This window comes from Homo sapiens, chromosome X (assembly GCF_000001405.40).
Source record: "Homo sapiens chromosome X, GRCh38.p14 Primary Assembly".
NCBI classification, from domain to species: Eukaryota; Metazoa; Chordata; class Mammalia; order Primates; family Hominidae; genus Homo; species Homo sapiens.
The window spans coordinates 107,181,172-107,199,026 of NC_000023.11; the positions used below are offsets into that span (position 1 = coordinate 107,181,172).

At 37.2% G+C, this 17,855-nt stretch overlaps 1 protein-coding gene across 3 annotated transcripts in view; it reads right to left on the minus strand.

The window, feature by feature from the left end:
• The window catches only part of NUP62CL (nucleoporin 62 C-terminal like), an 83,007-nt gene that overhangs the window by 57,745 nt on the left and 7,407 nt on the right, over positions 1-17,855 (minus strand). Inside the window, exon 2 of one of the 3 annotated variants that reach the window (NM_017681.3) lies at positions 11,858-11,901. The exons of the other annotated variants lie outside the window; for them this stretch is intronic. The gene's annotated coding sequence lies outside the window, so the exon portion shown is untranslated. The remainder of the gene's footprint in view (positions 1-11,857; positions 11,902-17,855) is intronic. 3 annotated transcript variants of the gene reach the window in all.

The window sequence follows — 17,855 nt, forward strand, 5'->3', positions numbered from 1 at the left end:
TCCCAAAGTGCTGGGATTACAGGCATGAGCCATGCACCTGGCTATGGTTTTACTTTCTACCTTAAGTAACCAAGGATTTTTTTCAGTTAATCTTTTTAGGCAAAATTCATCCCCTTACCCACAATAACTGGTTAGCCAGCTACTGCAATTCATTTATTCACTACTCTTTTCTCTATCTCACAAATTTGAAATGTCACCTTCACAAGCACAGGTTTGTTTCTGCACTGTACTTCAAAATATTTCACTGATTTTTCTTTCTATCCCTGTTCCATAGCACTAGAATTATTTTATTTTTATGTTACATAATATTTTAAATTTACAGGAAAAGAATAAATTTATAATAATTTTCACATATTTTCTTGCAAGTTCTCATTACTTTCCTAAAAAAAAAAATAGAGGTGGCTTGTCTCATGCATTTATTCCCCCATATAAACTTTAAAATCTTGTCAAGTCCTTCCTTCCTTTCCTTCCCCCAAAGATTCCCATTATGGTTTTACGAGAATTGCATGAAATGTATAGATTAATTCAAAGATAAATGACATCTTTATCTTATAGGGTCTGAGCATTCAGTGGGTCTTTTCATTTATTCACATCCTCTTTTACATTCATCAGTAAAATGTTGTGGTTTGCTTCATCTAAGTCATGCATATTTTTAAAAGTTTACTCCTATGCATCTCATACTTTTGGCTGAAATTGTTAATTAGACCTTTCTCCATTATATTTCCCAACTGCTATTGCTTAAACATGGGAAAGCTATTGATTTTTGTATTATTTATTTTGTAACTGGTCATATTACTGAAACCTCTTTACTATCTCTAATTAAATTTACACTTGATTTATGCCCGTATTTAAAAATCTTGATCATTTGTCCCAGATACTGGCATAATTTCAGGCGCCTGACCTTAAATCACATACCTAAAGGTAACTAGGGGAGCAAATACCACTTAATATGATTTGCTTTTAAGTTAAATGAATCTTAGAAAAGGATTTAAGAGACAAAAACCTTAGCTTCCTAATTAAAGGACAAGATCAGAGTTGTTCGACATTACCAAATAATTCTTTGCTGTGGGGGACTGAACTATGCACTGTAGGATGTTCAGCAGCATCCCTGGGCTCTGATGCCAGTAGCATCTCCCTAGTCTTGACAACCAAAAATGTCTCCAGATTTGGCCAAAATTCCCCCATGGTGGGGCCAACTGTCTCCAGCTGAGAACTACTGAACTAGAAGAAGGGTTCAATATCACAATTTCCTCCATCTAGTGCTATAAGGATCCCAAAATCAGCCTTAATTCCTTTACGTTTAAGAACTTAAGAAAATGCCAACTATCTTAATAAATAGTAGGACATAGAAAATAGCAGTTTTTTTTAAAAGAATAGAGGTAGTGACCTTACACTACAAGATAGGGGGGGCATGCTACAGTAACAAAAATGGTAGTACTAGAACAAGAAAAAGAGATCAACAGAACAGAATAGAAAGCCTAGAAGCAGAGTCAAGCCAAGTCAAACAATAATTTGGTGTATCAGGAAGGCAGCAACTTCAATTAATAGAGAAAGGATGTCTATTTAACAAAACACAATGGTTCAATTCACTAATCTCTTAGGGGGAAAAATTAAGATTCTTAAAAATATAAAACACAAAATAACCAAAAAAATAAGAATGTTGAGATGGAAAGGCCTATATGAATAAGCTGTGAGAGAACCCCTAAAAAATGAAAGTTTTGACAACATAATAACTAAAATCTTAGGCTAGGTGTGGTGGCTCATGCCTGTAATCCCAGTGCATTGGGAGGACAAAGAGGGAGGATCATTTGAGGCCAGGAGTTCAAGACCACCCTGGGCAACATAGCAAGACCCTGTCTTAAAAGAAAAATATTAGCCAGGCATGGCGGCATGTGCCTGCAGTCCTAGCTACTCCAGAGGCCGAGACGGGACAATCACTTGAGCCCAGGAGTTTGAGGCTGCAGTAAGCTGTGATTGTGCCACTGTACTCCAGCCTGGGCAACAGAGTGAGACCATGTCTCTAATTAATTAAAATCTTAAGGACTTCCATTTCAGGGCAGATGGAGTAGCTGTACTTCTCCCTCTTCTTCCCCCTAGATACAACTAAAACCCCAGGACGTTACATATAAAATAGACGTAAGAAGCCCAGGAGTGGTGGCTCACACCTGTAATCCTAGGACTTTGGGAGGCTGAGGTGGGAGGATCACTTGAGCTCAGGAGTTCAAAACCAGCCTGAGCAACATAATGAGACCCTGGCTCTATTGCTTAAAAAAAGAGAAAAAAGTAAAATAAGATAAAAAATAAATAAACCTAAGAAGATTCTGAAAGGTAGAGAGAAGAAGGCAAACTGGCTAGGGATTCCAAAACCAAAGGAACAATATGGTGGTGAGTTCCCTAGGTTTTCTTTTTGCCTCATATTTCCCAGGCTTGGAGTTGAACAGGCTGGCAACCCAGAAATGCCAATGGGTATAAATTTTTCAAAAAGCCCTAACAAAAAAGTCTGCTTTTTTTAGACAAAGGGCAAGGGAGGGGGCAGCCAAGCAAGTCAGAAAACTTTTAGACAATAACCACTCCAACTATAACCAACCACCACAGAAAAATCTGTGGTCCTATCTGCACTCATGCTAGCAAACACCAGGAGAGCCTAGACACCCACCCTTGTGAGGCTATAATAAGGCATCCCAACACCCTCGCCAGGGTGGTATAAAAGAAGACCAAACTCGAAGCCAGGTTTTTCATCCCTGCCAGCAGTTAATAAACTCCATCCTCACCTTGCCAGCAGAAACCATGTCGGGGGCAGGAATCCCCACTCCACCTAGCAGTAACTTGGAGACCCTCATTTCAGGTGTCCACTGAGACCAAGTATGGAAACTGAAGTCCTACTCCCATTCTGCAGTAAAAAGGCAGCACCTCCCCCCCCTCCACCAGAACAATGTCAAATAAAGCCAGCCAAAGCAAAAGGTTTAAATCAGATCCAGAGTCTCATAACATAGTATGAGAATATCTAGGTTTCAGTTTAAAAATTACAAAGATTTTAAAGCATTCATGTAAAACAAATTCATCAACAAACAATTATTAACACACTTCAAACAAATGAAAAAACCCGCCTCAGCACAAAAAAAGAGAAGAAAGAAAGAAAGAAAGAAAGAAAGAAAGAAAGAAAGAAAGAAAGAAAGAAAGAAAGAAACTAATTAATTATTGGTAAAGAAACGGAAGTTATAAAGAACCAAGCAAAAATTTTAGAATGAAAAATTTGTAATAGATGAAATGCAAAGGTTGGTAGAAGGACCCAGTAGTAGAATAGAGGGAGAGTACAGAAATAAGAATCAGTGAACTGGATGATAGAATCATAGAAATTATCCAATCCAAACAACAGGGAAAAATAGACTGAAAAAAAATTAACAGAGCATCAGGTCCTGTTGGACTATAACCAAGGACTTAACTTTCGTGTCATCAGAGACAAGAAGAGAAAGAGGGTAGCGCTAAAAAGTAAATAATAGCTGATAGAAAAATAGGTGAAAATGTTCCAAATTTATGCCAAAGAGGCATAAATGAACATACTCAAGAAGCAGAGCGAACCCAAAAAGGATAAGCACAAAGAAATTTACAAAGACACATAATAATTAAACTTCTGAAAACCAAAGGCAAAGAAAAAAACTTGAAAGCAGTAAGAGAAAAATAGCATCTAACCAAGAGAGAAAAGACTATTTAAATGACAGAGGATTTCTCATCAGAAAGCAGGAAAGCAAGAAAGAAGTAGCCCAATACTTTTCAAGTGCTGAAAGAAAAGAACTGTCAACTCACAGCTAACGAAAATATCCTCCAGAAAAAAGAGAGGAAATCAAGGCATTGAGAGATGATGGAAAGCTCAGAAAATCTGTTGCCAATAGACTACCGTAAAAGTAGTCCCAGCTACTCGGGAGGCTGAGGCAGGCGAATGGCGTGTACCCCGGAGGCGGAGCTTGCAGTGAGCCGAGATCGCGCCACTGCACTCCAGCCTGGGCGACACAGCGAGACTCCGTCTCAAAAAAAAAAAAAAAAAAAAAAAAATGGCTGAAGGAAATTATTAAAACAGAAAGGAAAGTATAAAAGAAGGAATCTTGGAACCTCGGGAAGTAAAAAACAACAAATAAAAGCAAAAATATGGGTAAATATAATAGGCTTTCCTTCTTACCTTCAGTTTTCTTAATTATGTTTGAAAGCTGAAGCAAAAATTATAACCCTGTCTGATATGGCTCTAAATATATGTAGAGGAAATAGTCAAGACAATTACATTACAAATGGGGAAGGGTTAAGGGACATACAGGGAGGAACAATTTTTAGACTTCACTCAAACTGGTAAAATAGCAATGCCAGTAGACTGTGATAAGAGATGTATACTGTATATGATATCTAGAGTGACCGTAAAAGCTATACAAAAAGATACTCTCAAAAACACTATAGACAAATCAAAATGGAATTCTAAAAAATGTTCACATAACCAATAGGAAGGCAGAAATGGAAAAGAAAGAAATGAAAACCATAATTTAAAAAATGACACACTTAAGCCCTAATACAGCAATACAATAATTATAGTACATGTAAATGGCCTATACATACCAATTAAAAATTGGTAGAAGGAATTAAAAACACGACTCAACTATATGTTGTCTGTATGAAAGTCACTTCAAAAGTAATGATATAGGCAAGTTAAGAGTTAAAAGATGGGAAAAAATATACCATGCAACATTTAACAAAAGGGAGTAGGGAGTAGATATATTATTATCAGACAAAGTAGACTTCAGAACAAAGAAAATTACCATAGACAGAGGAGGATATTTACAATGATAAGAGGGCCAATCCTCTAAGAAGTCTTAGTAATCATATGTGTATGAACCAAACAACAGAGCTTCCAAATATGTAAAGCAAAAACTGATGAAACTTACAGAGAAATTCACTATTACACAGTTAGAGAGTTCAATACCCGTCTCTTACCAACTGATAGAACTTATCAGAAAATCAGCAAGGATACAGAAGAACTCAAAAACATCATGAACCTTCAGGATCTAATTGACATTTATAGAACACTTCACCCAACAAAGCAGAATACACATACTTTTCATTTTTAAAAATCAATTTATTGGGTATATTTAATATATTAAACATAATGTTATGGGATACATATAAATAATAAAACAGTTACTATAGTTAAGCAAATTAACATAGCCATCATCTTACATAATTATCCATTTTTTTGTGTAACAGCAAAAATCTACTCAGTTTTGCAGATACTTTTAATACACAATTTTGTTAACTATACTCCTCATGATGTTATATATTAGATCTCTAGACTTGTTCATCCTACATATCTACTACTTTAAAAAAATGTCAGTAGCATTTGGGGTACAAGTGGTTTTTGGTTACATGGATGAATTATATAGTAGTAAAAAATACACATACTTTTCGAGCGGGGCGTGATAGCTCACTCCTGTAATCCTAGCACGTTGGGAGCTGAGGTGGGCAGATCACTTGAGGTCAGGAGTTCGAGACCAGTCTGGCCAATATGGTGAAACCCTGTCTCTACTAAAAATACAAAAGTTAGCTGGGCATGGGGGTGCATGCCTGTAATCCCAGCCACTTGGGAGGCTGAAGCAGGAGAATTGCTTGAATGCGGGAGGCGGAAGTTGCAGATCACGCTACTGAACTCCAGCCTGGGTGACAGAGCTAGACTCTGTCTCAAAAAACAAAACAAAAGAATACACATACTTTTCAAGTGCCCATGAAAGAAATACCAAGATAGATCATATATTTAGCCATAAAACAAACAACGACAAATTTAAAAGAATTAAAATGATACAGAGTGCATTCTCCAACTACAATTGAATCAAACTAGAAAGATAACAGGAAAATCTTCAAACATTTGGAAACTGAACACTTCTAAATAATACATGGGTCAGAGAGGAAGTCTCAAGAGAAATTTAAAAATACACCAAATTGAATGAAAATGAAAATACATCCTATCAAAATTTGTGAGACACAAAGCAGTACAGACAGGGTAAGTTACAGCATTAAATGTACACATTAGAAAAGAAGAAAAATCTAATCAATAATTTAAGCTCCCAACTGAAGAACTGAGAAAAAAAATAGCAAAATAAGCCCAAAGCAAACAGAAAAAAAGACCAAAAACTCAGTAAAATTAAAAACGAAAACAATAAAAAAAATTGTACAAACAGCTAATTCTTTTATTTATTTATTTATTTATTTTGAGATGAAGTCTGGCTCTGTCACCCAGGCTGGAGGGCAGTGGTGCAGTCTTGGCTCACTGCAACCTCTGCCTCCCGGGTTCAAGCAATTCTCCTGCCTCGGCCTCCCGAGTAGCTGGGATTACAGGTGCGCACCACCATGCCCGGCTGACTGTTGTGTTTTTAGTAGAGACGATGTTTTGCCACGTTGGCCAGGCTGGTCTTGAACGCCTGACCTCAGGTGATCCGCCCGCCTAGGCCTCCCAAAGTGCTGGGATTACAGGCGTGAGCCACTGCACCCAGCCAAGAGCTGATTTTTGGGAAGATCTATAAAATTAACAATTCTAGTAAGACTGACAATAAAAGAGGGAAAACACAAATACAAATATTAGGAATGAAAACAGGGGATATCATGACATACCTAGCAGACATCAAAAGAATACTATGCCCATGAATTTAATAATTTAGAAGAAATGGACCAACTTTTCAAAAAACATAAACGACCACAATTCATCAATATGAGAAACATCATTTGACTGGCCCTATGACAATTAACGAATTTGAATTCATAAATGTGAAAACTCCCAAAAATCAATCTCCAGGTTGGGATGATTTCATTGGAAAATTCTACCAAATGTTTGAAGAATTTCTTTCAGAAAATAAAACAGGAGAACTCATTTTATGAAGCTAGTATTACTCACTGACCAACTCATTTTATGAAGCTAGTATTACTTACTGACCAAAACCAGACAGACAATAGAAAAAAGAAAACTGCGGACCAATATCCTTCATGAACATAAATGCAAGAATCCTTAATGAAATAATAGCAAATATAATTCAACAATATATAAAAGAACTATATACCATGACAAGTGGGATTTATTTCAGAGATGCAAGGTTGTTACAATATTTAGGGCCAGTTGATGTAATTCACTGTATTAGCGGGATAATGAAAACCAATCACATGACCATATCAATTGATGCAGAAAAAGCATTTGAAAAACTTCAACACCCAGTCATGGTAAAAACTCCCCCCCACCACTCCCCCAGCCCCGCCAAAAAAAATTGGAATACAGAGAGGGGAACTTCCTTAACTTGATAAAGAACACCAACAAAAAACTGCAGCTAAGACTATACTTAATAGTGAAAGACCGAATGTTTTCCCCCTAAGATCAATAACAAGGCAACTTGCTCTCACCACTCTTATCCAAAACAGTGCTGGAAGTTCTAGCTATTGCATTAAGGCAAGAAAAAAAGGCATCAGATTGGAAAGGAAGAAATGAAACTATATTTGCAAATGACATAATTATCTATGTAGAAAAATCATAAGAAATTTACAAAAAAAACTCCTAGAATAAATGAGTTCTCCAATGTTTCAGGATACAAGATAGACATACAAAATCAACTGTATTTCTATATACTAGTGATGAAAAGCAAACACAATATCATGTACAATCTCTAAAAAAAAGAAATACCTAGGTGTAAGTTTAACAATAGAAAAAATCACAAACAGCATTCTGTCTTTTGTAAAATTATATTATCCACTGACATTACTCAAATCCTCATGCAAAAAGGACTCCTATAATACATTGCTATTTTGGATGCTTTTTTTCTCACTAAAAAAAGACATGAACTGATAAGATATACAGATGATAAGTACAGGAAAAGATGTTCAACATCATTAACTATCAGAGAAACTGTAAATTAAAACTACAATTATGGTATCACTATCTACAAAAATGGCTAAAATAAAAAATAGTAACACCAAATGATAGTGAGGATACAAAGAAACTAGATCTTGTATACATTGCTGGTGGGTATGTAAAATGGTACAGCTAACATGGAAAAGTTTGGCAGTTTCTTATAAAACTGAATATGCAACTACTGTATAACCCAGAAATTGCACTACTGGGTATTTATCCCAGAGTAATGAAGACTTATATTCATGAAAAAAATCAGTACACAAATGTTCATAGCAGCTTTATTCATAATAGCCAAAAAGTAGAAAAAATACAAATATCCATTCATAGATAATAGTTTTAAAAAAACTGTAATACATCCATACAATACAACAGTATGCAGCAATAAAAAGAAACATGCAGGCCAGGCACAGTGGCCCATGCCTGTAATCCCAGCACTTTGGGAAGCCAAGGCAGGAGGATTGCTTAAGCTCAAGAGTTTGAGACCAGCCTGGGCAACATGGTGAAACCCCGTCCCTACAAATAATAATAATAATAATAATAAATTAGCCAGGTGTGGTGGTGCACGTCTATGGTCCCAGCTACTCAGGAGGCTGAGGTGGAAGAATCACTTGAGCCTGGGAGGTCGAGGCTGCAGTAAGCCATGATCGTGCCACTGTACTCCAGCCAGAGAGAGAGCGAGACCCTGTCTCAATGAAAGAAAGAAAGAGAGAGAGAGAAAGAAAGAAAGAAGGAGGGAAGGAAGGAAGGAAGGAAGGAAGGAAGGAAGGAAGGAAAAAGAAAGAAAAGAAAGAAAGAAAGAAAGAAAGAAAGAAAGAAAGAAAGAAAGAAAGAAAGAAAGAAAGAAAGAAAGAGAATCGATACAGACAACAATCTGGATGAATCTCCAGAAAATTACGCTGAGTGAAAAAAGGCATTCCCAAAAGATTATATACTATATGGTCCACTGTATATAACATTTTATTAACTGCATTTTGGTTTAGCAAGATCCTGAATGTCTTCTCATTAATGTTGAATACAAGTTAAATGTATTTTACTGCAACCTAACTGGAAACTGGTTACCCATATATAGTATATAAGATGTCTCCACTAGCCAAAATATTTTAGCAAGAATATACCACTCCCAAATCATGCCATATAACTGACTTATTGCATCATATAATATTCTCTAAAATGTCATACTACCCTAAAGATATGCTTTCTTGTTCTATTGTTCCTCCTGATAAATTTCATTTCAGAAGTTTTAAGAGAGGAAGAAAAACAATCAACAGATTGTGAACAAGAAATATTTGTTAAACATAAGCATTAAACAATTGGCCAAAATATTTCAGGGTAACTCTGATTACTATATGCCAATTGGTCTAGACTACTGGTTCTCAGGAGTTTGTTGCTTTTTCCAAAACAAAGATTGATTGGTTCTAAACCTAAAACTATAAACCAGAAGGGGCACTTTGTATTTAATTTCCCCTATATTCATCAATAACACTAACCTCCAACAAGAGAAGTGACCACATTTGGATTTGAATCAATCAAGTAAGAATCTCAAAATCAATCTTGAATACTGTGCTTCTCCATTAGAGAGCAGAGTTCAAACCTTACTTGTGGACTGTCTGCCAAGGACGAAAGGAGCTATTGGTTGTACAGCAGTTGTGCCACTAGATGCCTAAGTAGCAGGAATAAGGGGTAATTCTACAAATGCTGTTGGCTGAGCGGCATGCCTCATGGAAACAATATTGAAACTGGTGCTCCCAGTCTGAGGTGTGCCTCCACCGATGAATGAGAAACCTAAATAGCAGAGGAGGGAGAAGAGCCAAAAGCAAAAGGAGTGGATGCTGTCACCTCATGTGACAGGGTATTGCTAGTTGCAGCATTAGTAAGGGTGTTGGCACCTACCCCAGAAGCCCCTGTAATCACTGTAGGTTGTGTGGAAGCAGTGTTGTCCAACTTTTTTTTTTTTTAATTGTTGTGGGTTTAGTAGGTGTATAACTTTACGGTTACATGAGGTATTTTAATACAGGCACATTCTAAATAGAAAAAAGGAAACAAAAATCAACATAATAGTTATCTGACATATTAAAAGGCAACTAGATAACATGGCTCCTGTCAAATTAAGTTTTAAATGTGAAGGTTTTGTTCTATAGGTTATTTCATCTCAATACAGAAAGATAACCAGATATTAATATAGGAATACATGTACAGAGCTCCATATTTCTCATTCATAGATAAAGGTTACCTAATTTGATCCACCTTAAGGGGAAAAACATTTAAAAATGTTTTAATGGGGAAAGAGTAGTTCAGAAAATTTTGTCTTCTGTAGAGACAAAAGGACTTATATGGCCGGGCGCCGTGGCTCACACCTGTAATCCCAGCACTTTGGGAGGCCGAGGCAGGTGGATCACGAGGTCAGGAGTTTGAGACCAGCCTGGCCAAGATGGTGAAACCCTGTCTCTACTAAAAATACAAAAATTAGCCGGGCACAGTAGCGCATGCCTGTAATCCCAGCTACTCAGGAGGCTGAGGCAGGAGAATTGCTTGAACCCAGGAGGCAGAGGTTGCAGTGAGCCAAGATCACGCCACTGCAATCCAGCCTGGCGACAGAGTGAGACTCCATCTCAAAACAAAAAAAAGGACTTATACTTCCTCTTTCTGCCAGCCCAGCACTTTATTAAACAACACAAGTTTTTGTTTTAGACACTAAATCAAACAACACGCATCTCTTTAAAACAATTTTTAGAGATTTTTTATCTTTTTTTCCACACTAACCAACTACAGAAAAGTTTAGAAATTTTTAAATGTATTTCATGACCCATGACAAAATGCTTTAATATTTAAATTAATCCTCCTAAGAAAGATTATTTAGCATTCAATTACAAGTTATTAGATAACTATAACAGGATAAAGGAGAATTCCAGAGGGAATACCCTTGCTTTCACCAGGTTCTCAGGTGCTACTAAAAGACATGAGGCTATCAGTGCTACAAAAAAACAAGTGGATTTACCTAAAAAGGCATGAAATGAGTACCTCCTTTAAAATTCTGAGATGCATGAGGGAAAACTATATAATGAGTTCATTACAATGATCGATAGAAAAAGATCTCTCTAAAGAGTCACTTATTCAGCAAGTAGCCTAATTTCAAGATGATACATTTCCAAAACTCAGTGAGTACTCCTCCTATGGTTCACATAAAATGAAGGGAGTCCACAGTACAGAATTCAGTGTGCCTTGTGCCTCAAATCTCAGCTGCCTTCAATTTGGTAGACTACCTTGGGAATAAATAGCATAATTCCAAATAGATTTTCATTTTTGAGACAGCGTCTCGCTCTGTCACCCAGGCTGGAGTGCAGTGGTGCAATCATGGCTCACTGCAGCCTCGACCTCCCGGGCTCAGGCAATCCTCCCACCTCAACCTCCTGAGTAGCTGGGACTACAGGCACATACTACCACGCCCGGCTAATTTTTTGTATTTTTTGTAGAGACGGAGTTTTGCCATGTTACCCAGGCTGGTCTCAAACTCCTGTGCTCAAGCAATCCACCTGCTTTGGCCTCTCAAAGTGCTGGGATTACAAGCGCGAACCACTGCGCCAGGCCAGAAATAGTTGATTTAGAAATAACATATCATTTCTTTACCCAGTTTGTCTCTCAGAGACAATTACCTTTGTATCCACTAAAAAAAATCAGAAACTGTATTGCTCTTACTCTAAGGAAAATTCAGTTGCTACTGGGGCAGGAGTTGACACAACCAGTGTTCCAAAAATGAATCCTGTAGTCTGTGTAGCTGGAGCTGGATGTGAATAAGCCAGTGGAAGATGAAGATGCACTTGCAACTGGTTGGGACAACACCCTCAAATTTAACCCTCCTATACCAGATGTAGAGAAAATAAACCCTGTAGTGGAAGTAGTCACTGTTGTTTTTGCAGAGCCAAATAATGAACCCACCTGTAAAGTTCCTCCAAAATTAAACCTGCTGATGACTCCAAACCCTAAAAAAGGATAAGAGAAGAATGGGAAAAAAAATTAGAGCTCTCAATGAGACCTCAAAGAAAAGATGGTGGACAGAAGCCACACTGGAGTTGCTCCCTCGTACTCCAAACTTCTAGAAGTACCAGTTTACAATCATTTAATAAAAACATTTTTTAATACAAAGCAAAGTTTTTCCAGAAAGAAGGACAATTTTTTAAGTGTCAGACAGAAAGGGAATTCATACCCATGAGCAGAAGTTAATGTTGATTAGCCCAAGATGATACCTTGAATGAGATATGTGCCTTAATAGCTGGAAATACAATGCTGAATTTGGGGTACGATTTAAGGCTACCTGGTAAGGCCACAGGCTCCTGAATCAGCAGAGACCTAGTGAAGTTTAAATCTGAGAAACATCTACAGGAGGATGGAAAAGACAAGAAACATGTGAGAATCCCAAACTGCTACAGAAGATATGCATAGATGGCTCAAATTCAATTTATGTTTGTGATGTAGAAACTTCAAGATAAGATGTTATCATAAAAACTGGTTAGGAGTTGATAAAACCTTCAAGGTCCAGGCAGGTTGCCCATGACATTACTCAAAAGGGACATCTCCACTTCCTAGGTCACATATAGTCAAAAAAAAAAAGCCCTTAGAAGGTTACTCACAGACAAGATATACAAAACATCTAAGTCAGTCATCTTTAGACCTAAGAAAATGAGAGAATTCTTATCCCAGAAATTAGAGATAAAAGCACAATCTGAACAGCACATCAAAATATATGTCTGATATGTTCAAAGAGCTCAAGAAAGAAATAGCATCCATAAAACTAAGTGAATGTGAAAAAGAACCAAAAGGAAATCCAAGAAACGCCTAACAGTATTAGAAATAAAAATGCTCAAAAGACAGATTTAAATAATAGACTACACAGTTGAAGAGAAAAAAATTAGCAAATTAGAAGAGAGAACAGAAAAAAATCTGCCAGTACCGAGGGCAGATAAAAATAAATAAATAAGAAAGATGGAAAAGGGGAGAGAATTAAGAGATAAGGAGAAAAAGAAGCTCCAATATATATCCAGAAGGAACAGAGAAGGAAAAAATAGAATGGCAGAGGCAGTATTCAAAGAGTTGATAAGTGAATTTCCTAGAACTGAAGAAAAATTAGTTCTCAGATTTAAAAAGCCACCAAGTGCAAGCAGGCAATCCCTCCTCACTACCATACAAACACACATACCCGTTATATACAATATATTGAAACCCTATAGAGAAAAAATTCTCATAGTTACCAGAGAGAAAAAAACAAATTTACCTAATAAGGAGCAACAACTAGATTGACAGCAGGCTCTTCATTAGCAATAATAAACATTAGAAGACAGTGGGAAAATATCTTAAAAGTGTTAAGGGAAAAGTCATTGTGAACTTATAATTCTATCCCAGTCAAAATTAATAAAATGAGATGACTAAAAATTAGTTTTTAACACAGTAGCTCTGAAAGGCAATTCTAACAAATTTCAAAAATGTCTCATTAAAACTAAGAGTTGCATTACTTTATGCACCACTAAGAAAGGAAGGGAGAAAAACCACCAACCTGTCATAATTCCTTATTATTTAATTTTTAAATACTTTTTGAAAGAGCTCTTTTCATTGTAGACATAGATTTTAATCAAACATGCATATATTAGAAAAACGTATAAGCAAAGTAACTTGGTTAATGTATCTCAAAAATTCACATTGAGTCCAATTTTCTTTTCTTTCTCTCTTTTTTTTTTTTTTTTTTTTTTTTTGAGACGGTCTCCTTCAGTCACCCAGGCTGGAGTGCAGTGGCACAATCTCAGCTCACTGTAACCTCCGCGTCCCGGATTCAAGCAATTCTCCCGCCTCAGTCTCCTGAGTAGCTGGGACTACAGGCATGTGCCACCATGCCTGGCTAATTTTTGTATTTTTAGTGGAGACTCGGTTTCACTGTGTTGGCCAGGCTGGTCTCGAACTCCTGACCTCAGATGATCTGCCTGCCTCAGCCTCCCAGTGTTGGGATTACAGACATAAGCCACCGTGCCAGGCCCCAATTGTCAACACAAATTTCTTGATAACTTCTATGCCACCAGGAGCACTGTTAAAGCAGCATTTTAAAAAATAAATTATAAGAGAACTAAAAGCCATTTTTGCTATGCTCTTAAGTCAGCTTTGCAAATATGTAGACTAGCTTCCTTTTGTCTCCCATTTCAGCATATTGGTAACTAAATCTGATTTACTATCTCCTCCATTCATTCCCCACAACCACTATTTTCTAAGAGTTAAAGGTGATCCTCCATTGTCTCAGGGATTTTTCACTTCAGTCATCCATTATGAAAGTTTTGATCCTAAAGATTTTGATATTATCTGTGCATGCAGGAACAACTATCATGTCACAACTGCCACCTGGCCAAAAGATACCATTCAACTATTGGACTTGCCTCCATTTCAGAGATGTTAAGACATGAAAAAAATGTACCTCTTTAAATGGCTGAGATACAGCATCTTGAATACTGTTAGTGTCATGGGTATAAGGGAAAACTTTCCCAAGAGTAACTCTGAAGGACAACATTTATCTGAATGTGTTAGTTACAACATGCTTATTTTCAAGTCTTATACACATCTTAAAACTTTTTAAATGTGAGCTCCAAATGGTGATTTCAACTGTAACAACTCAATCCTGGAAGGCACAGAAAGGGAAGCAATAAGAGCATTTGCTGTGTTTAGTTTTATATTCCCAAGTGTACCACTTTCCTGAGGTTACAAGTGCTATGTTGTTATAAATTATAATATTATTATAGGTTTTATAACATATAATTATTTATGTGTTATATGTTTTAATATACATGATGATAATATAAATATTGATAGAAAAATTCATTGTTGTCAAACCATGGTGGGTGTTTATCCTGTAAAAGAAATTGACAAACACTTCCAGATTTAGGTATTGTCATCAATGTCATATTGCAGACAAAACTAAAGTTTTCTGGTAGCCATCAAAAGGTGGATTTTTTTTCCTATGCCCTTGCATTTATGGAATTTCTATTCTTTTGGAAATAATTTAAGAATCTTCCTATTAAATGTAGCACATAACTTTAATTTTTTCTGCCTTAGAAATTTGAGAAATAAAACAAAAAAATCACTTTTTGGACTAAAAGTACATTTTTGTCACTAAAAATTTGGAATTAAATATTCTTGCCCTTCCATCTCATTTAGATCTTAAATATTTCATATCCTTAGCTTTTTTTATTTTTTAATCTATTTTGCTTGACCAGTTTCTGACAAAGGTGTTTAAAAGCCTCCAATTATTATGAATTGTCAGTTTTTCCCTATAATCCCATTGCTTTTTCCTTTATATATTTCTTTTGTTTGTTTGTTTGTTTTGAGATGGAGTTTCACTCTTGTTGTCCAGGCTGCAGTGCGATGGCACAATCTTGGCTCACTGCAACCTCCTGCAACCTCCGCCTCCCAGGTTCAAGTGATTCTCCTGCCTCAGCCTCCCAAGTAACAGGGATTACAGGCATGTGCCACCACGCTTGGCTAATTTTTTTGTTTTTTGTATTTTTATAGAGATGGGGTTTCACCATGTTGATCAGGCTGGTCTCAAACTCCTGACCTCAGGTGATCCACCCGCCTTAGCCTCCCCAAGTGCTGGGATTACAGGTGTGAGCCACCACGCCCGGCCTCCTTTATGTATTTCAAGACTGTATTGTTAGGGGCCTATATGAAGTTCACAGTTGACAGACTCTTCTTGGTAAGTTTTCTTTCTTTCATCAGTATGAAGTAACTAATTATTACTAAACTGCCTTAAATCATATTTTGTCTGACACTGATGTTGCCTCACCATTTTTCTTTAGGTTGGTATTGGCCTAGTGCATCTTTTTCTATTCCCTTGTTTTCAACCTTTCTGTGTCATTTTAAATGTGGTTTTTGTAAGTAGCATAGCCGAAATATTTTAAATCCAATCTGACAGTCTCTTAGTGAGTTTAACTTACTTACATTTATTGTGACTACTAACACTACTGGATTTTTCTTCCATCTTACTTTGTATTTTTTATTTGCCAGGCTCTATATATCTTTTATCTTTTTCTGCATATTTGGATTGATGAGATTTTCTTTATTCTCTTAATTTTTCCCAGGCGTGGAAGTTACATATTCTATTAATTTGTAAGCATTCTCTTGAATTATTTCTTTTCACACAGAGTTAAATTTATATTTTTTAAAACAAAGTCTGAAATTATTCAGTATTCCCTATCCTTTTTTAACAAACAGGAACTTAGCACACTTTAGCTTCCCTATGCATATCATTACTTTATTAAAAAATGGGAAACAGGTCTGTACTCCCTATCTGTGGCAATCAAGAGGAATACGCTATCTCTGCCTTGTTGGGTTTCTCCAGACAACCTCTCTTCCTCTTCTAAGTAACCTCTCCTTATCCACACTGCCTAACTACAGGAGCTTAAAACTGATAAAACTACAGCTTTGTATGTTGAGCCCAGCTTACAGTCTCTCTTGGGTGACTCAATGCAAGCACACATATTCAAAGAAAGGAATACTAGATGATAAAGGCCCTCAGCAGAAAGCACACTAGGCCCCCAAAAATCATCAGAGCTTATTAGAAGGGCTACTAGAAATGAGCAGAATGTTCCCTACCTGGCAGTCCAATCTAAATGGGGCTTACTGAATTAACTAAATGGCTGGAGATAAAGAAAACAACTGAATGAGTGTTGATGCCCACTAGACTGTTCTAGTCATTTAAATGCATTTGGAGCCTCAGTTTCCTCACTTCTAAAATTCTGACGGTTCCATTAAGTGAATAACCAAAATATTATTTTAAAAATAAGTTTGTATAGGACTCTTCACATATATTACCTTGTCTAATTTAATTTTATGTAAAGTGCTATGTGAAAGCTTTCCAAAGTATAATGCTGGGGTTATCCTCACTGCTGGTGAAGAACTAATCAGTGTCTTCTAATCAGGTCTGTGTCTAACTAATCAGGTGGGGACCTGGAGAACTTTTCTGTCTAGCTAAAGGATTGTAAATGCACCAATCAGCACTCTGTCTAGCTAAAGGTTTGTAAACACACCAACCAGTGCTCTGTGTCTAGCTAAAGGTTTGTAAACACACCAATCAGCACTCTGTAAAAACACACCAATCAGCGCTCTGTGTCTAGCTAAAGGTTTGTAAATGCACCAATCAGCACTCTGTAAAAACGGACGAATCAGCACTCTGTAAAATGGACCCATCAGCACTCTATAAAATGGAACAATCAGCAGGATGTGGGTGGGGCCAAATAAGGGAATAAAAGCTGGCCACCCGAGCCAGGAGCAGCAACCCACTCGAGTCCCCTTCCAGGCTGTGGAAGCTTTGTTCTTTCACGCTTCACAATAAATCTTGCTGCTGATCACTCTTTGGGTCCACACAGCCTTTATGAGCTGTAACACTCACCGTGAAGGTCTGCAGCTTCACTCCTGAAGCCAGTGAGACCACGAACCCATCGGGAGTAAGAACAACTCTGGACGCACCACCTTTATGAGCTGTAACACTCACCGCGGAGGTTCACTCCTGAAGCCAGCAAGACCACGAACCCACCAGGAGGAATGAACAACTCCAGACACACTGCCTTTAAGAGCTGTAACACTCACTGCAAAGGTCTGCAGCTTCACTTCTGAAGTCAGCAAGACCACGAACCCACCAGAAGGAGGAAACTCCGGACACACCATCTTTAAGAACTGTAATACTCACCGCGAGGGTCCGCAGCTTCATTCTTGAAGTCAGCGAGACCAAGAACCCACCAGAAGGAACCAATTCTGGACACACTATCAGCTGGCCCAGACAGTGAACATAAACTGGATTTCAAACTATAATTTTAAAAAATTACTATTCATCTATCTCATGTATCAGCATGCAAATTATCTGCTCTGTGTACTACCTACTATTATTTATTGATTCTGGGAGTGT